The sequence below is a fragment of the Homo sapiens genome, chromosome 15 (genome assembly GCF_000001405.40).
Source record: "Homo sapiens chromosome 15, GRCh38.p14 Primary Assembly".
Taxonomy (NCBI): Eukaryota; Metazoa; Chordata; class Mammalia; order Primates; family Hominidae; genus Homo; species Homo sapiens.
This window is the reverse complement of record NC_000015.10, coordinates 74,619,860-74,638,910: the sequence shown is the minus strand read 5'-3', so window position 1 is coordinate 74,638,910 and position 19,051 is coordinate 74,619,860. Positions and strand designations below refer to the sequence as shown.

At 53.5% G+C, this 19,051-nt stretch overlaps 2 protein-coding genes across 11 annotated transcripts in view, besides 4 other annotated features; one reads left to right on the top strand and one right to left on the bottom strand.

The window, feature by feature from the left end:
- Positions 1-8,353, top strand: part of EDC3 (enhancer of mRNA decapping 3) — a 65,467-nt gene extending 57,114 nt beyond the window's left edge. For all 9 annotated transcript variants that reach the window (NM_001351379.2, NM_025083.5, XM_024450077.2 and 6 more), the window contains 2 exons: positions 3,285-3,502; positions 5,965-8,353. In NM_001351379.2, coding sequence (NP_001338308.1) covers positions 3,285-3,502; positions 5,965-6,299 — 553 coding nt within the window. In that variant the 3' untranslated portion in view covers positions 6,300-8,353. The remainder of the gene's footprint in view (positions 1-3,284; positions 3,503-5,964) is intronic.
- Positions 6,611-6,760: an enhancer, noted in NCBI's record as "active region_9787". NCBI's record gives its function as "activates an Ori minimal core promoter by ATAC-STARR-seq in GM12878 lymphoblastoid cells {active_cell/tissue: GM12878}" and the evidence as "EXISTENCE:reporter gene assay evidence [ECO:0000049][PMID:35858748]".
- Positions 6,821-6,880: an enhancer, noted in NCBI's record as "active region_9786". NCBI's record gives its function as "activates an Ori minimal core promoter by ATAC-STARR-seq in GM12878 lymphoblastoid cells {active_cell/tissue: GM12878}" and the evidence as "EXISTENCE:reporter gene assay evidence [ECO:0000049][PMID:35858748]".
- CLK3 (CDC like kinase 3) overlaps positions 8,710-19,051 on the bottom strand; it is a 21,830-nt gene continuing 11,488 nt past the window's right edge. For both annotated transcript variants that reach the window (NM_003992.5, NM_001130028.2), the window contains exons 3-13: positions 18,686-18,902; positions 16,695-16,791; positions 16,351-16,417; positions 13,893-14,009; positions 12,943-13,109; positions 11,465-11,559; positions 11,243-11,372; positions 10,859-10,941; positions 10,228-10,307; positions 9,879-9,969; positions 8,710-9,204 (exon numbers count right to left, since the gene is read on the bottom strand). In NM_003992.5, the coding sequence (NP_003983.2) occupies positions 9,028-9,204; positions 9,879-9,969; positions 10,228-10,307; positions 10,859-10,941; positions 11,243-11,372; positions 11,465-11,559; positions 12,943-13,109; positions 13,893-14,009; positions 16,351-16,417; positions 16,695-16,791; positions 18,686-18,902 (1,321 nt within the window). In that variant the 3' untranslated portion in view covers positions 8,710-9,027. The remainder of the gene's footprint in view (positions 9,205-9,878; positions 9,970-10,227; positions 10,308-10,858; positions 10,942-11,242; positions 11,373-11,464; positions 11,560-12,942; positions 13,110-13,892; positions 14,010-16,350; positions 16,418-16,694; positions 16,792-18,685; positions 18,903-19,051) is intronic.
- Positions 9,086-9,586: an enhancer, noted in NCBI's record as "H3K4me1 hESC enhancer chr15:74921666-74922166 (GRCh37/hg19 assembly coordinates)". NCBI's record gives its function as "activates a minimal SCP1, AML or CMV promoter by ChIP-STARR-seq in primed H9 embryonic stem cells {active_cell/tissue: H9 hESC(primed)}" and the evidence as "EXISTENCE:reporter gene assay evidence [ECO:0000049][PMID:30033119]".
- Positions 17,342-17,391: an enhancer, noted in NCBI's record as "active region_9785". NCBI's record gives its function as "activates an Ori minimal core promoter by ATAC-STARR-seq in GM12878 lymphoblastoid cells {active_cell/tissue: GM12878}" and the evidence as "EXISTENCE:reporter gene assay evidence [ECO:0000049][PMID:35858748]".

Sequence of the window (19,051 nt, the reverse complement as noted above, 5' to 3'; positions counted from 1 at the left end):
TTGTTGTTGTTGTTGTTGTTGTTTTTAAGGTAAATTCAGCAGGGCAAGGTAATTGAATGGATTTTAGAGGTAATGGAAAGTATAATGTCAGAAATCAGTGAACTTCAAGTTTTCTAGCCTGGACATCTGATTGGATGGTGGTTACATTCACTGTGATAGGAAACATGGGAAGAAGAGCAGGTTTGGGAGAGATGGTGGGTTTTGTTTTGGATGTGTTGAGTTTGGAATACCTGTGAGATATCCAAATAGTCTCTTAGCTATAAGGATCTGAAACTTAGGCCAGGCGCAGTGACTCACACCTGTAATCCCTATACTTCGGGAGGCCAAGGCGGGCAGATCACTTGAGGTCAGGAGGTCAAAACCAGCCTGGCCAACATGGCGAAACCCTGTCTCTACTAAAAATATAAAAATTAGCCAGGCATGGTGGCAGGTGCCTGTAGTCCCAGCTACTCAGGAGGCTGAGGCAAGAGAAATGCTTGAATCTGGGAGGAGGAGGTTGCAGTGAGCTGAGATCACACCACTGCACTCCAGCCTGGGCAACAAGAGCAAGACTCCATCTCAAAAAAAAAAAAAAAAAAAAAAAAGATCTGAAGTTCAGAAAAGGGTCTTAGCTGATGCTAGAGATTTAGGAGTTGTCAGCTTGTAGATGGTGTAAGAGTAGATGAGATCATATAAGGAGAAGGTGTGAACAGAAAGGGCCTAGGGTGGGATTCTGGGGAACGTCGGCATGTAAGGCACAGTTAGAAGGATGAAGAAGAAGGCAGGAGAGGTAAGAAACCAAGAGGGTAGCGTGTAAGAACCAAGGAAATAGTCTTTGAAGAAAAAAGGAACGGCCGGCAATGGTAGTGCTGAGAGATCAATCAAAATTAGAGTTGACAAGTGCCTGTTGGATTTTTCGGTAAAGAGGAGGATGTAGGCAACCTTGTGGGAGAGTGGTGTCTGGAGTGGGGAGGCCACTTCCAAAGAGCAGGGCAGATCTGGGTTCACTGGGGCAAGGAAAGCCTCCTTTCCCTGAGCAGCACTCACAGATCCAAAGCCTCACATGATAGGATGTTGCTTCCCACAGGGCCCCTTCCCTATTTGCAAAATGGAACCTGGTCCTTGGCTTGTGCTTCCAGCCATGGTGTTTGGGAGTGCTTGCCAGAAAACTGATATTGCAGATAAATCCTGTAGCTCCTCACTCCAGCCTATTTTCATTCTCTGGGCCTGATAATGTGTTTGGATGGAAGGCATCTCCTGATTCTGAAGTGATCTTAATTCAAGCAGGCTTACTCCAAGCCAGATGTAAGATTTCCACCTCCCTCATCCTATTTGAGTTGGGGGTTGGAGTGTTAGTTTTTCCTTTTTCTTTGATTTAGGCCTGCTTCCTAGCTGTTAGATCCTTGGGCTCTCCTGTGCCAGGGAAGAGCCAGGGAAATGCCTACAGGAGGGGGTAGTGTGAGGTGCCCTCTGAAAGAGCATCAGGCCCGTGTGTCTGGTGTCTCCTGCACCTCCTCCCAGAGCCACTGTTGGGGGCACTTTGAGACCATTAAGTGGCTTCCCAGAAACATTAGTTTTGGAGCAGGAGCTGAATGTCCTTACCAAATCACACTCCTCTCTAGCCAGCTTCTTGGGGCTGGCTGTCCTTGTGCCAGTCTTTTCTCTTAGTGTCTGAACTATCCAAAGGTCCATCTCCTGTCCTTTGTAGCAGTTGCTGATGTTGAGAAATCAGACCCGTGGTTAGTAATCTTGAAGTTTAATGTATGTCAGGTGCCATGCAGTGTTCCACAGTGCTTTCACAACATAATTTAATGTGGTCCTCATAACTTCACCTCAAAGCTAAATAATAGCCCTGTGTTTTTGGATAAGCACACTGTGGCTCAGAGAGCTGAGGGACTTGCCCACATGATACTGCTGGTACACAGTCCAGCCAGGCCTCTAATCCACATAGGTCCATTTCCAGTGCCCATATACTCTACACCTTGCCGCTGGGTGTGTGAATGCCATGCTCTGCTTCTTTTGATTGGGGGTGGGAGAGGTTCTCCCTGAGAGGAAGAACCCTTTTAGAGAACAAAGTGAGTCAGATTCCACAACTCTGCAGCATCCTCTGAAGGGAGCAATTCTCATCATATTTCCTCTAAATGCAGAAATGGGAAGGCGAATGGTTTGGTGTCTGGAATATAGAGTAGATTGTTAAATTCTCCAAAATGTGTTTGGGAATGGGGGCAGTTATGAAGCTCCTCTTAGCTTGACAACATCTTGTCATCTTCCTCCCTTTGGGAAACCGGTAAGTGACTATCATTGCTCTGCCACTAGGCAGGGACCTATGGCCTTGCCGTCCATCTCCTCCCTACATTGCTGCCCCGTGAGCCAACTGTGCTGCCTATGAGTTGGGCACAGCTCTGGGGCTAATCCTCTTTATCTCCTTATTTGTGGCTTCTCTGAGTCTAGAGGAGTCTCAGCTTTGAATAGCAGAAAACTGGAAGTGACAACTTCATCCAAGGCAGCTGCTAGCCTAGGAGGCCAGGTAACCCTTGGCCTGCTGCCTCCGCCATGGTCAGCACTGACTGAGTACCTTACCTTCTTTGTGTTAGGCACTGCTAAGTGCTGGGCATCCGATAATCTGCACAGCATCCTATGAAATAGATACTGTTAATGCCTGCAGCATTGCTTTCATTAACTTCAGTAAGCTACTAAGCTCAGTAAAGAGAACCATTGGCAACTGACTGAGGAGAATGGAGAGCTATGGTACTTGCTGTGAGCTTATTAGGAGTTGAGGAGAGGTAAAGGCATGAGCCAGAGTAATCCCAGCAGAGGTAAGTCTTGAACTGGATCTCCAAGAAAAGGCGGTTCAGAGTTTGGAAAGTGAAAGGCTTTCTGGGCAGGGGATGTAGTTTGAGCATAAGCAGGAAAGAGCCTTACAAGTGCAGGAGAGGATGAGACCAGCCCTGCTGGAGTGAAGCAGACACGTTGGGGAAGAAGAGCAGACAAGGCTGCAGAGGAACTATTAAGTGTTCATGGGTCAGCAAAGCGGTGTTGTGGCAACAGTGTTGTGTGGAGCAAGATCTGGGTGAACCACTTAGTGGGAGGACCCAGCAATGATGTGAGGTTGGGGTTTGGGACAACAGGAGTGCCACCCTATAGACCTGGCCTGCAGTGGATTTTGTCCCCCTCTGGAGCCTGGGACTTGGTGAGCAGTGGGTAAGAGATCTGAGACCAATAGGTGCTACAGGCAATTGTCTGGTATAGGGTGCAAGGGATTGGCAAGTATGTAGCTGATACTGCTTCTTCACCTTCTTTTCCAGGTTGAATCCCAAAAATGTTCACCAGAGGCCTACAGTGGCTCTACTGTGTGGACCTCATGTGAAGGGGGCTCAGGGTATCAGCTGTGGAAGGCACCTAGCCAACCATGATGTCCAGGTCATCCTTTTCCTGCCCAATTTTGTCAAGATGTTGGAATCTATCACCAATGAGCTGTCGCTCTTCAGCAAGACCCAAGGCCAACAAGTGTCTAGCCTCAAAGGTGAGCACTTAGGCAGGGCTGGGCTGAAGGCCTCCTCCCTCCTTAGCAGTTTGATGGTCTCGTCATGCCACCCAGTGGCGACAGGTGGAAAGGCACTACGTGTGTAAGGATGGTGCTTCGCCTCTAAGGAGTCTTAGAACAGTAATATACTACTTCCCATCCCCTTATGCTTCTCCCTCTCCAACTACTCACATGAAGAGCTGGGGACCCATTGGTCCATTCCACAAATATTCGTTGAACAGGCACTCTTCCTGATGCTAGGGATATGGCAACAGATTTTTTTAAATCCATTCTTCTGTGGAGCTTATATTCTGGTTAGGAGGAACAAAAAGACATGTAACATACTTGTGTAGTTGTAGTAAGTGATGTGGATAAAAACAAAGCAGGGAAAGGAGGCATGTTGGAGGACTGGGTGGAGAGTAGGAGACTTGGACATTTCAGGGTCAGGTCATGATGGGCCTTGGGGATGACCACAAGGATTTGGGCTTTTACTCTGGTGAGATGGGCAGTCATTGAAGGAATAAGTAGAGAAATGATATAATCAAATTTAGGTTCCAGATGATCATTCTGGGTGCTGTTTGAGAGTAGACTACACAGAGGAGTACAGAGAAGTGTCAAGATGCTGTTGTGATCATGGGAGAGAGAGATTATGGTGGCTAAGACAAGAGTGGTAGTGCCAGAGGTGGTGAAGGTAGTTAGTTTCTAAATCAGTTTTGGAGATAGAATCCACAGACTGGATGTATGGGGGGTGGGAGAAAGAGAAGAGTTGGCAATGGCTCCAAAGTTTTTGGCCTCAGTAACTGAGGTGCGATCACTGAGATGGGAAAACTTGATAGAGAAGGTTTGGGGAGGAACAGCAGAAGCTCAGCTTGAGACACCTATTGGATATGCAGGTGGAAATGTTGATAGGGAACGAGTTATATGAATCTGAAGTGAAAGGATTCAGCCTAGAGTTACAAGCCATAGGGAATATTTAAGCCATGAGGAGCCTGGATATGCTGTCACATAGGAAGAGAGTAGATACAGAAGTTGGAAAACTGAGCTCTTTATTTAGAAGTCAGGGAGTAAAGAGCCTAACCAAGGAGATGGGACAGGAATGGTCAGTGAGGGAGGAAGAAAACCAGGAGAGTATGGTAGCTGAAAGCCAAGTGAAGAAAGGAGCATGTGGTCAGTGTGTCAGCAAGCCCCGTTCTAGGTTAAGGTCAAAGGAAGACAGAATCGACCACTGGATTTAGCATCTCTGTGGAGGCTCCTGGTGAGCTTGATGAGTGGTCTTAAGTGGAGTGGTAGGGACAGAGTCTGACTGGAATGGGTTTAAATGAGAACAGCAGGGAGAAGAATTGGAGAGAGCAAATATGGCCCAGAGAAGGGACTCCACCAGAGGTCACATAGTGAGTCAAGGGCAAAGCCTGGACCAGAAACTTCACCTGCTAAGTCTCGGGCCAGGCTCCTGTGGGCACACAGAAGATAGGATGCCACTCTCACTCTTGAGAGCCTCATCACCCACAGGGACTCCCCCCGGTGGCACATTCTAAGCAAGGAAGTTGTGAGTCTCTAGCTGAGAAATGCTAATACTCTAGGCTGAGAGCTGGGAAGGGGGCCTGGTGTGGGTTCCCCTTGTAATTTTTAACATGATGCCCCCTTCCAGGCAGTTCTTCCTCTTGCTGCCCAAAAGTTTTCCTATCCCAGCTGCTCCAGGACACAAGTCTCAACGACCATTAAGTTTGGTCTGATTTATGCTATTCTCAGTTTAACTTCTTAGGCCAGTACAGGATCTACATACTTGTTGAGACATCCTTTTCTAATACTGTCCCAGAAGCCTGGTTAGAGCAGAGGAGCCTGGGAGAATAGTAATAGGTTCCCTCTTAATTCTTAATTAAGGTTGGGCTGAGTGGAGGACCCATTCCTGTGAGATAATGAGTACGAGAGGGGACAGGCTTGCTAGAGTAGAATGAGTAGGCCAGCTGGAATAGAATAAGCATGCTCTCACCTGCTCACCCTTCTTGGGTCAGCAGATAGCAGTCAGCTCCTGTTTTTGCTGGACCTGAGTGGGGTTTCCCTGTGATGGCCACCTTGACAGTGGACTCTGCCTTCCCAGAGGTCATAAGGTGCCCAGGGCATTAGTTGGATATACAGAGGCATGCCTGAGAAGGCAGAGGAGGTGAGGGCTTTGTGCCCTGAGAAGCTCTGCACACTCAGGACGACAATGGTTCATCCTGAGAACTCCAGGAGGGCAGTGGTCTGCTGGGCTGACATGCACTTGGTCTCTAGCACTCAGCCCAGCCAGCTTGCAACTCCTAGGGCCTGTGCCCTGGCCCAGCTTTAAGAAGGCCAGCCTTTGGAGAGGCATTCGAGTGGTGTCTGGAAAACAAAGACACCCTTGGGGTGACCTGGGCCCTAGTCCCAGCCTGGGCTGCTCTCTGCTCATAGGGACTTTCAGATGGCACTCTTTCCACCTGCAGATCTGCCCACTAGCCCTGTGGACCTGGTCATCAACTGCCTGGATTGCCCTGAGAACGTCTTCCTGCGCGATCAACCCTGGTACAAGGCAGCTGTGGCCTGGGCCAACCAGAACCGGGCACCAGTACTCAGCATAGACCCTCCTGTGCATGAAGTCGAACAGGGCATTGATGCCAAATGGTCACTGGCACTGGGCCTGCCTCTGCCACTGGGGGAGCACGCAGGCCGTATCTATTTGTGCGACATTGGCATTCCCCAGCAGGTCTTCCAGGAGGTGGGCATCAACTACCACTCGCCCTTTGGCTGCAAGTTTGTTATCCCACTGCACTCTGCTTAGAGGGTTCCTGCGCAGGCAGGACTCTGCTGTCCCCTGCTGCTCCTGATAACAAACGCCTTAAGGATATGAAGCTTCATGGACCTTGTTAAAGTTTTTTCTCTTTTGGGTTTGTTTCTTCTGTGAGAGAACAGAACTTACTTAAAACTGACCTGTCACTTGCTCTTAGCCAGGGAAGTCTTTCCCACTGGGTTCCGGGCTGGGTGGCAGGCTGAGCGTGCAGCAACTCCAGGCATCTCTACCCTCAGCCCCCTGCACGGCCAGGTGGGCCTTTGTTTACAGCCGTAGGCAGCTCTCAAGACTGTGTTTCAGGTTTACAGCCACTGGGCCTGGGCACACACATTGAAGAGTGGGCCAGGTCCTGTCTGGGGGCCTGTACCTGCTCTATTTCAGAGCTTGTGGCTTTGTGTCTCCCCTGCTTTCCCCACGCAGACAGCCCTTCCTCTGTAGAACCAGCTGCACGGCAGCTGTCCACCAGAGGGCAGACCTGCACTCTCCATTCATGTCCAGGGCTGTGACAGACCAGGCCTTCCCCTAGCCCCACAAGTTGATTTGGGGGGTTTTGACCCTTACTCCTGAGCTGATCCAAGTTTTATGCTGATTTTTCCAAGGATCTCTCCCTCCTTTTCCCTCCATCACTCAGAGGTAGGGAAGGGGGCGGCATTAGGATGGTGTTACTGTATTGGGATTTTATGTTGTTCTGTCGTCTTCAGCACAGGTAGTATAAGGTTATATTACTGTAGAACCACAGTGCCCATCTTGCCAGCAGTGCCCGCCCCCACCCTCAAAGCTGAGCAGGTTGAGCCTTTGCCTAGTCTGGGGCCAGACCCCTCAGATGGGGATATCCCTGGGGGAGCCTGGTGCTGAACCAGAAGAGGCTTCCTGGTGCTTCTGTCCTAGGCCACCACTCCTCCAGCCCTTTGCCCGCACATACATGCCCCACCTACTCTTTCATCCCCTCTGCCCTTCCCCTGAAACGGTCCTTTGCAGCTGTCATCCCAGAGCAGGCAGATGGGCTCCCGTGCTTGAGCTCCACCCCAGCTCTTACATCATCTGGGCTTTGAACCTTTTACATTTGTCCAGTCTAGATGAGTAGGCTTGGGGCCAGCACCCTGTCTCAAAGATGGCAAAATGAGGCTAGTTCTGGATGAGCTAGCTGGTGTGGGTTCCAACCATAGGAACACACTGATGCTCAAATCCTAAGGTGCCAAGCTCTAGGCCCTGGAGGCTGGTAGAACAGGATCTATGCCTGGAATCCTGGCAGGGATTCCTGTCAAGGACTTGTGTTTAAGCCTGCTTCAGGGCTTCAGGCTGCTTCTGCTCTGTGTCTGCCCAGGCTGGCTGAGCGGGTGGATGGGTGGACAGAAGGGCTCACCAAGGATTGTGGACATAGGGTAGGCCCTGGTACCACGGGTTTCAGGCTGTTATCACTTCCCTTGTAGGAACATAGCCAGAAGCAGATGAGCCAGGGTAGAGGGCTGGCCCCTCCTCTCATCTTCCCTTCAGTCTTAAATTGTCTCCAGCGATGGGAAGAGGCCAGGGACTGTAACCCTTGTGCTGTGTATTCTCTGAGCCTCTGCTCACTCTCAGGGCCAAGCAGCTCCCAAGCCGGGGCCCTCTCTTGGCCAAAATCTGAGGAGCAGTCTAGGTTACAGGCTTTTTGGTAGGTAGGTTCTGGCTGCCTGTTAATGCAGTTAGGCCCCCTGATTAGGTACAGTGAGAAACAAGCTAGAACAACCCTGGCCCAGAAGACTGTCCACTCCAGCAAGATCCAGGGATGATAGCCTTGCAGGGCCACTGGGAGTTTGTGCCCAAGCTTCTCCCTCTTCTCTCCCCAGGGGGCACTGGGACTGGTCCCTGCCCTCATCCTTAGCCTGGGCCTTCCCCAGAGGTATTAAAGAGAAGTATGATTCCTCTGTCTTCAGTTCTTTTCAGGGGCATCCTGCCCATAGTACCCAGTTCCCAAGGGGCCCCCAGTCACGTGGTGAAGCCTAGCACTCATGCAGCTCTTAGGGAACCAAAAACCAGCACTGAAATAAAGCTGAATGACTGACTGAGTCCTGTGCCGTGTGACTTGCTCTGTAGGCTGTCATGAGGTGCTGTCTGTCCCAGCCTAGGAACCCGCCCCACTCGTCTCCTGCCCTCAGCAGGCCATAGTTGTTGGGCACATACAGCCTAAAGTCCTGGCCAGTAATGGGACTGGCAGGCTGTGGAAAACCAGACCCCACCTGGCTAGCCACGGTGGGCTGATTCCCTTAGGTTCTCTGGGGCTGAGAGGTACAGAAGCCAGCAGGGCAGAGGTGCCATCTAGGACTGCTCAGCAGCCTGGGCCCAGAGGATGTCCCCAATTCTGGTCTTACCCCTGCCTAGCTCTTCTGTGCCTGGCCCAGTTCACACTTAGCTCTCCACAAGCTGAACTGCTAAGAAAGACTTTATTAATAAGGTCAGGTAAGGGGAAGGCAAGGAGCCTGGAGATGGACACACTGGTACCAGGGGTTACAAACAGTAAGAAACACTTTATTATAACTTTATAACATATAAATAGCTTGGGTCAAATCTGTGCTTTCTGGCAGCTGGGCACCAAGTCTGCTCCCCTGCAGGCTCCTGCCTTCCTTCACATTGCACTGTTCATTGGGTGGCTCTGGCCTGGGGCCTGGCGGTCGAGGCTGGAGTCAAGGGGCTGGGCGGCCCAGTCCCGCCCTCCATCTCCTCATGCGGTGGCCTGTGCCTGTCATCTGCTTGGGTTGCGGCTGGTGTGGAAGGACCGCTCCTCAGGGGTCAGGCCAGCAAAGAAGGGGTGCAGCAGGGCCTCGGCCAGTGTGATGCGCTGGGCAGGGTCAAATTCTAACATCCTCCTCATCAGGTCAAACAGCTGCACGTGCTCCAGGGAGTCTTGGAGCATGTAACTCTGCTCAGGGACACAAGGTGCCTCAGTGTGACGGCAGGGTCGTGGGAAGCCACAGCAGGTCCCCTTGCCTCTGGGACGCCTTGCTGGACTGGATCGAGGAGGCAGTGATGCCTCCTTGGAGGACTCTACTTCCGCCCTCCTGGACAATGAGCAGCTCCTTTCCTTTCATGCCTGTTTAACGTTTTGCTCGGAACTTGCCAGGCTACTAGGTGTCTTGCTGGGTTGATGCCTCTGCCCCCACATGCAAAGTCCTGACAGGTGGGTAGAGATCACCTCTGCGAAATTCACTTGTCCGAGCACCAAATGCAGTTGACAGAGGCTTCCTGGCCATGTCTAGGTCTTCCCTCCCCCTCACCTCAGTCCTGCCTAGTTCTTCCCAAAATTTCGAGGAGAGAGAGGGACAGGAAGCAGCAGGGCTTCTGACATCTGGCTCTTCTGGTGTTCCCCAATTACATTCATAGCCACCCTATGGGGAAGGGGTAGGGCTAAGGGCCCCTCTGGGGCAGTTTGCAAGAAGCCCCATTGCCAGCACCCAGCAGTCTTGGGTGCCGCCTCCCATAGAGCTGGATCAAGGAGGCAGCCTTTAGCGGCCTGGCCTGTCTCTGCTGTATGTCTGCCCAGTGCCTGGGGTCTCTCCTTGGCATGAGTTCAGCTGGGGGTAGCCAGAAACTGACCTTCAGAGGTTTGCAGTTCTCCTTCACATACCGGCCGTCAGAGCTGTTCTCATCCCAAACTAGGCCCCCTTTGTAGAAATATTTCTGCTTCCTGAAAATTAAGGGGGTGGAGTCAAGTGTGGGAGTAGTAAGGGGACAAGCCTCTGGTGGGAGGTGGGGAAGAGCAGCTCCCAAGACAGCAGCAGAACCAGGGCAACAGGTCTGCAGGGGCACACAGGGAAGGCTTTTAGGAGCCTGCGGAACCATGGACTGTCCAGCAAAGACTCACCACATCCAGTACCCTGCTGACCCACAGCCAAGAAGAGAAAGGCCTCTATACCAACCCTGAGGGGGCTACTGGGGTCCTTACCTGGTACGGTGGATCATGTGTGATGGGATGGGCCCTAGGATCTTCTCCATCATCACCAGGTGCTCTCGGTTTTCGTGGGTCTGTGGAAGATTAGGGACAGTGCAAGGGGGTCAGTACTAGCTCTGGCCCCTTCAAGGAGAAAAAGGAACAAGAAAGATGGGCAAGTGCCCTCACTGCCCCAGGACATGCAAACCTACCAATGAAGCGGCAGCCCCAGCTTCTCCTGCCAGCCTGTGCCTAGGCTCCTCAGCCCTTGTGGGTGGAGGTGGACTGGGCTGTGACTACATTTCTCTCTGGTTAGCTCTTCACTCCCTGCCCAGAACATGCCCTGTCCCAGCCCATCCCGATGCCTTTAGTCATCTGTGCCCCTTATCTAGAAGGTCAGGTCACCTCCTACCCCATCCTCCATCCTCGATGGCCTAGCATAAGACTCCTCTGAGTGTTCCAGCTACCCTGACCTCTGCCTTCCCTTTAGCATCTACATCCTTAAAGGGTCTGAATCTCACATGATGATTAGTGGGAGGAGGAAGACACCTGTCTTCTCATCCATGTGGGGCTTCCCACCCCAGTGGCCTGCAGCCTATCACAGTAGCAGTACTCAGGGTAGGGGACCAATGCAGGGTGGCTGTACCTGGAAGAGTGTGAAGCCCCGGTAGTACTCAAAGAGAATGCAGCCAATGCTCCAGACGTCACAGGGCTGTGCCCAGCCCAGCTCTGCAAGCCAAGATGGGGAGAGGCTGTGAGATCCGGCCTTATGCTTCCAGCCTGGAAGTCACAAGGCAGCCACCACACCGGCTGGCAGGACTCTTGCCCAAATCCCAGTACGAGGCCCTCTCTCAGTAAGGCTGACAGATAAAGCCAGGTCAGTCACCTGTGTCTCATGACACTGGCCCCTTGGTCTGAGAAACTCTGCCTGCCCTGGGTGGCAGAGAATGACAGGCATGCCACTGCCTCTGCTCATACCCTCCCAACAACAGTCCAGTATGACAAGGTCACAGGCCATACAGTCACTCACCAAGGATCACCTCAGGCGGGCGATAGTGACGGGTGGCCACAATGGTGGTGTGGTGCTCATGGTCAAATGTGGCACTGCCAAAGTCAGCCACTCGGATGCTGGTGTTCTTCACTGACTTCTCCTCACAGCTCTGAAAGGCAAGGCAGGCCTGCCAGGTCAGGAGTCTGCACCAGCGGGTAACCCACCCCTGAAACAGGGCCTCACCCTTACCCCCACCAATACCTTGTGCTCATTGTAGAGGGTTTCAAACTCAGAATTCACAAACAGGATGTTCTCTGGTTTCAAGTCTGTATGGGTCAGCTGATTCTCATGCAGAACTAAGGTAGCAGGGAAAGAAGGGGAAGTAGGCACTGAGAAGCTGGCTCTCCTGCCAGCTCTAGGCCAGACCCCTCTTCCAATGCCAGCAACTGCCAGAGGTCCTCACACCCCCACCTCAGCAGGGAGCTGGACTACAGCCTGCCTCTGTGCTGGCCTCCCTCTCAAGGGTTCTCTGTACTTGAGGCCTTGGAGGGTTCTGATACTTTAGCAGGGGGGTAGGAAAGAAATTTGCCATTCGAAAAACCTCCCTCCACCTCTCCTCTGCAGAGACCAGGCCTCCTCACCTGTCTCTCAGCAGAGCTACAGCAACAGCCTCGAGGTGGTTCCCTCTTCCCTGCACCAGCTACATAATTTGCAGGGCCCTTTGCAAAATGAAAATGCAGGTCCCCTGTTCAAGTTACTAAGAATATTAAGGTGGTGGCAAAAGGACATTAAATCAAGCACAGGGTCCTGTGCGACTGAGTGCACAGGTCGCATACCCAGGAAGACAGCCCCGCCTCTCATTGCTAGTCATAAGCAGGCAAGCCTTTCCCCTCCAGCCCCTTCTGACAGTGGCTTCTTGCTAGTAGTCACTTTTCAGCTCAAGGATCCCATCTGGCACTCAAGACCCTCACAACTATGTGGCCCACCACTCCCCAGTGGCAGTCTACTCCACTGGAGCCAATTCTCAGCCCGTTAACAGGCTCCAGGCCTCACCAAGCTGTTCCCCTTGCTTGGAATCCTTGTCCCTGTCCCATCTTGCAGATCCTGTGGGAGGAGGAAGACACCTGTCTTCTCATCCATGTGGGGCTTCCCACCCCAGTGGCCTGCAGCCTATCACAGTAGCAGTGCTCAGGGTAGGGGAGCGATGCGGGGTGACCTTGAGCGATTCTAGCTCAACGCCTACCAACTTCACCAAGGAGCCTTTCTGTACTGCTGCAACCATTGCAAATCCTACTGCGCTGAGCCCTGGCACTGCCAAATAATGCTTTTCCAGGCTGGCAGGGAGATGACAAGTCAGGGTTAGACCGAGGGTCTCCATGTGGGCAGGACCTGTGGTGCTATCTGTCAGGTCAGGCTTCTACCTTTTTATCCCATGCATGAAGCAGGGAGGCAGGGTTGGTGGTTAGGCCAATTCCAGAGCAGTTCGTTTCTGTTTTCTTCCTGAGTGCCTGGGGGTAGAGAGGCTGGTCCAGGAGGTCCCTGGAGGGAGCCCTAGCCTTTCCATCCTCACACTGAGATTCCCACCCAAAGACAGGCCTTTCCGCCAAAGGGGATCTGGTGTCCCTCAGGCCCAGGAGAATGGTTAGTAACGTGCTGGAATGAATGGGGACAACAAGTAACCAGATGACTTGGCTGCAGGCATGTGGCTGCCCATGCTTCTTTTGAGGGTGGACACTTACATCTAAGGGCGTGGCAGAGCTGGTAGGCCATGTGCCGGACATGTGGTAGGGGGTAAGGCTGGAAGTTATTCTCCTTCAGGAACTCAAAGGTGTTCTTGCCCAGGAGCTCAAAGGCGATGCACATGTGACCGTGGAAGTTGAACCAGTCAGACATCAAGACACACAGGCTGGAGGAGGAGGATGGGCAGGGCTCAGGCTGTGTGCTGGGGGCCTGCCTCACCCCCTCTCTCAGATGAAGACAGTTCCCAACTCTCTCCTAGGCCACCGGGTCACACACCAGAATGCAGATACACACAGTGCAAGAGAAATCAGAGCAAGAGCACCTCTCCCCACCAGCCATCACCCAATACCCAGATGAGCTCTGGGCAAGGACTAAGCTTCCTGCGGGGGGTAGGGGAGATGTCCACGGTTCTGGTCCAAGCCCTCCGAGCTTCCCTACTTATGATATGGAAGCAGCCCTGCCTCAGAGTTGCTGAGGGAGAGATGGAAAGTGCTAGTGCACTCCGCAGGACTGGTGCTGCTTTTCTCCACTTGCTCACTCTGCTGAGCTTCGTGAGGGTCTGTGCTGGATTCACCCATCTGCCCAGGCTCAGCACAGTGCGTGGAGGAGAGTGCTCAGTGTGTCTGCCACAGAAAGGCCCTCCTTTGGGTATCTCCTACTATGTGAGAGCCCCAACTTCATGTTTTTATCTTGTTTTATGCCCAGCATAACCCAGTGAGCTCCCCAATTCACAAAACGCAGGGCTGGGAGGCCTTCCTCAGGACACAGAGACAGCTGGGGTGAAGACTGGACTGCAGTCTAAAGGCTTCCAGCAAGACCTTTGCCACACTCCCCTGGTTCTGAGTGTGGGGAGAAGGCACAGTGCGGATGGGTGAAGGCACACTACTAAGCCCCTGGGGGTCCAGCAGCCCCACTGAAGGCTTCCCTCCCACTCCTTGCAGATACTCACAACTTGTTTTCTTTGTCCTTCTCCTTGATTTTTTTGAGCACGTTGATTTCTAGCCGGGCAGCCTCCCGGTACTTGCCCACGTTGCGGATGATCTTCAGGGCAACCTGAGACTTCCCTCTGGTACCCGGGAAGGAAACAGAGGTTCTCATCAGCAGCTGCCCAGTCCTTCCCCAACCCTCCACCCCAACCCAGCAACTCCCAACAAACACCACTCCAGGAGCAGCCGGCACTGAAGAGAGCAGATACTGGATGCCCAGCCTGCCCCATGCAACACCAGACCTTTGCCCACCCAACAGCAAGCTCCCTGAGATCTGTGAGTTAATGCTCTTAGCATCCTTGCCATCCTTAGGCTTTTATGTTCTCAGCCACTGCCAGCTCCCAAAGGAGTGTGGGAGAGTAGAGGCCAATCCTGCTTAACCAGTGCCAGTCCAAGAGCTCACACAGTGACCTAACCTATAGGCCAGGCAGCCCCAACCCTGGCCAGGCTGTCCCACCGAGAACCCTCCTGCGGCGCCTCTTGACCTTCCTGAGCTTGTCTGCAAGTCTGAGCAAACAGGGATGGGGGTTCCAGGATCGAGTAAAGATCTGGCAAGAGGTAGGGGTACCAGCAAGGGTACCTCTCACTGTGAGGCCCAGGGCCACTCCCTTTACCACACCCCTCTCCAGCCGCACCTACCTGCCACAGTGTTTATCAGTGACCACAAAATGCCAGGAACCCTTCTTAAGTGTCCAAAGAAGGTTTTAACAGTCCCTGCTCTGTGCCTCCCACCCCCAACCTCACCCCAGGAGGCCATCTGCAGGGAGCCAGCAGAGAAGGAAACCTGCTGAGGCTCAACTGCCAGGCCCTGTCAGGAAAGGACAGCTAGAATTCAGATGCCCAGTGGGGAACGAGACAGTCCTAGCCTGGAAGGGCGTGTCCTCTGAGGCCTCAGGGAGGCTGACTGTGGTGCCTAAGGCTCACAGGCCCAGGATAAAGGGACCTTCTAGAGAATCCCCTGCTTTTTTCTCCCTACCTATTTTCCCAGATTCTCAGGGCAGGAAGGGACCTCAGGGGAAAGGCCATGCACTCCGGCCTCCTCCTAAAACAGGGTCCCTCCGTGGCATTCCAGTCCTCAGCACAGGGAGCTCATCACTTCCAAGGCAGCCCCTGTCAGAGTTGCACTGCTCTTAGAATAAGACCCTGCCTTTCGCTGAGCTGAATTCTGCCTCTGCATGACAACCCCCACTGGCCCTGGCTCCCTTTGAGTCCCGTAAAGTTTCCCTGGACCCTCCACCTGCCCCCTAGTGACTCCAGAGGCTCATTTTCCCTCCAGCTCCTGAGAGAGGAGCAGCCCAGAATGCCTACATGCATCCCGGCTGTTGAGTCTGCCATGTCTCCACCTGGCCACGGTGTGGTTGTGCATGTCCCTCCACCCACTGGTCCCAACCCTAACCTCTTGGGCCACGCTGAGTCGTACAGGCATTTACATAGGAACTTGGAGCAAATGGACACTTCCTCTCAGTCTATCTCGTGGCCACAGGAAAGGCTGGACGCCTGGGTCTGAATGACCTGAACACCCCATTTAATGTAGGAGCACTACAGCGCAGTGGTGGCCAGCTCTGCTGTTAACTGGAGTATGATGCAGGCAAACCCTGAGCATGTTTATTCATCTCTGAAATAGCGAGAGGGCCACATATGGGTGGCATGTGGCTCCAATGAGGACACAAGCACTTTGTAGCTGAAGTGCCAAACCAACTAGAGAGCCTATGGCAGGGTGGCAACTGGCTCCCTGGAGGTGGCCTCCCCAACCCAGACCTATAGGAGAGGAAGCAAATGTTCTAGTCTTGTGGAATGGTAAGGGGAAAAAACTATTGTACTGTTGGGCTTGGGAGAGAGTGAGGTGCAGCATGACACACACAGGTATACCCCACTCTCCCAGGCACACTCAGCGGAGACCACACACTACCCTAGTCACACTGAAGAAGGCAGCAGCCTGCTTGGTGAGAAAGCCCAGGGTCATGTTTCTCTCGACTGAGATCTGCACAGCCTCTCAGGCAGACCCTCAGGGAATGGGACTTATGCTTGGGCTGGGCTTATTGGTACTCCTAGCCCCTTGCTAAGCCAAGAACCTAAAAGTTATCACAGGAAGCAGCTCCAAGCCACAGGGGAGCCGGGGCCTTGGCCCTGTTCTGATATCCACCACCACAGCCCTGGAGAAGTGAAGAGATTGGAGCAGAACCTTTCACTGACCAACAATTCTTGGGTAGGGATGCCACATAACTGCAGGACCCAAGAATTTCTCCCTTATTACAGGGGGTCAGCAAAACCCCAACATGGACAGGTCGGAACCCTACTTTGATGCCACCCTTCAAAAAGAAAAAAGTTAAGCTCTGATAGCTGCCACCCTCAAGAACCTCAGGCCAGCTCTTCCCAGGAAGATCACATCCGGAGCCAGCTGTACTGCCGCAGCTCGCTCACCTGGCATGGTCCAAGCACTCCACCACCTTGCCAAAGGTGCCTTCACCCAGGTTCCCCACAATCTCATCTAGGAGAGAAAAGAAATTGGGCATGAGAATCTGGAGGGCAGGGGGTTGGCAGCTCCTGCAAGTTCACAGCATTCAAATTCTCAAAAACAAAAAAGGTTTCTCTCTCACTGCTACACTCTTAAAAATGGAAGTTGCTAGTGTCTGTGTCATTCAGGCAATTACTGGTGGCCCCGCTAAGGCACCACGCGCACTAGAGGCCCCTCCAGGCAGGAGAGGTCTCGTCTAACAAGGGGGGTAGAAAGTAGAGAGGTAAAGTTTTACGAAAGGTGGCTGTACATCGCTCTTGGAGCCAATCGCCGATCCGGCACACCAGGTGACCCTCCTTGTCATCTTCCACACTCCGGCTGCTGCGCTTACTGCTCTGTTGGCTTCTCTGCATGCACCGCCCCCCGAAACGCCATCCGACCAATCGCATGGTAGGCGGTTCCGATTGACAGATTGAGGTGTCAGTCAAAGGCAGAGGTGGAGACGGTGAGGAGCCGGTGGGTTGGTTGGTTGGATTTTCCAGATCCCAGCATTTCATAAGGCACACAGCATATATAACGATAGGGATATTGCAAGGGACACGTCAAGACACAAACTGACTTCAAAAACAGAAAAGTAAAAACAGCTACAGGTATGTAAAGAAAACTCGGACATTATCTTTAAGAGGAGCGCCACAAACGCTCAGGAAGATGACCTGCCTCTGCTGCTGAGGGCCACGCTGTGAGGAGAGCCATCGCCCCGACTCCCTCCTCCTCCTCCTCCGAGTCTCTCCCTCCCAGACCCTCCCATGTGGCTTTGGGCCAGAGCGGAAGATGCAGTGAGAACGGCGGCGCAAGAAGGCAGCTGGCCCCGCCTGGGTCCAACCATCCAGACTGGTCAGCGGCTGCTCCGGCTTCAGCTGCAGAATGCCCAGCCTGTCCTTGCCTGCCTCTGTTCGCCCACGCAGACTTGCACATGCCTGACAGCTGCCACTCACAGCCAAGCTGCTACCTGCCTCCAGACGGCATCCTTGGCCAGATTTCACCATCACTACCAGAAACAGCCTTCCGTCAGCAGCCCTCCTGCCACCAGCCTCAAGAAGGAAAGCAGCCTGGGATCCTCTGGGCCAGTCGACTGCCAGGCTTCCTACCACAATGGCCCACACAGGCCCCATGCCAGCTCCTGCCCTGGCCTTGGCACCCATGCTGCTCACAATCTAGGCCCATCCCAAGCCTCACGACGATCGATAGAGGGCACCAAACAGAGAAACAGAGCCAGACCTGCACTGCCATCCTGTGGCAGCATGTGGCAGTGTGCAAAGAGGTGAAAGGGCCACGCTGCAATCGCCCGCACAGTCAACCCTCAACCTGTAGCCACTCAAAGAAGTCACAGAAAGCGCTGGGCAGAGAAGACACCTGGCCTCTCCACTGCTCCTCAGGGGCCTCAAGGCCGGCAGGAGGGAGGCAGGGAAGAGGGATGGGGGAGAAGAGAAGACCGCACGTAACCTCGGAAATACACAACTGGCTTTGCTTCCCCAGGGGACTGAGCGCAATGTGGGCTCCAGAGACCTTACAACCCTCCATGCTAGGAATACTGGCCAGGCCCTGCTCTGGGCATGTGGCCTGCAACTGGACGAGGCCTGGGGCGGCAGCCTTTCTGCCATTTCTTCACATGCCCCATCACACAGGCACCTGCCCCTCCTCACCGCGACTGCCCCTCGTAAAGAGGCTCGGCTGGAGAGGGCCTGGCTGGAGATCAGAAGGGAAGTTCCCAGTCTGAGCTGGCTGACAGGCAAATCCTCCGGTCCTGTGAGGCACTCCAGACTGGGGGCCTTTGGGAAGGGGTGTGCAGATGAGACGCAGAGGTGGGTGCAGTCCACATCAGAGCACTCAGTTACACGAGGAGGCAGTCTCTGGGTGGGAAGGACCAGGCCATATAGCTGCAGACCACCATACCAGCCACTCTACTAGGATCCCTAAGAAGTGTCCTAAGAAGTGTCCCCAGCCACTTGCACCACGTGGCCTTTGTCTGGAGCACTGTGTAGACATAGACAGGCCAGGGGCCAGCCAGCATCGGAGCCAGAGTTCCTACAGTTGCCACTGGAAAGAGCCAGAAGACACAGAGGCCAGGACCCTGTGATCAGCCCTACACCTGGACCAGACAACACATACACACACACATGCACGCACACCAGTGCACGTGCACAGGGCTGGCAGTACTCACCCGGACCAGCCAGCCTGAGAGAAGGCTAGGAAGAGATGAGGCCTTTAAGCCCCAGCCAGCACACTCTGGCTACCACTCACCGAGGAGGCGCTGCTACAAGACCTGGTGCGGCGTTTGTGGCAGTGGTGGGCATGCTTGCGGGTCCGGTATGGCCCCCTCTCCCGCGATCGCCGACGATGACGAGAACGTGAAGGTCCATAGTAGTCCTCTCCAAAGGATGGGCTCCGCTCTTCACACCGGTATGTATCGCTGTCACGGCGCTCCCGGTACCTCCTCTGGTAGGGCAGGCGGTCATGGCTGCCAAAAGGGGGATGGGGACGCTGGTCAGCTGGGTCCTTGCTGTTAGCAAGCAAGAGACCTGTGGTAAGGCCACTGTAAAGGGCTAAAGGGGGACAGCCTGTGCTAAAAGCATCCACACTGGTGGGAAGTGGGCAGAGAGGGGAGGG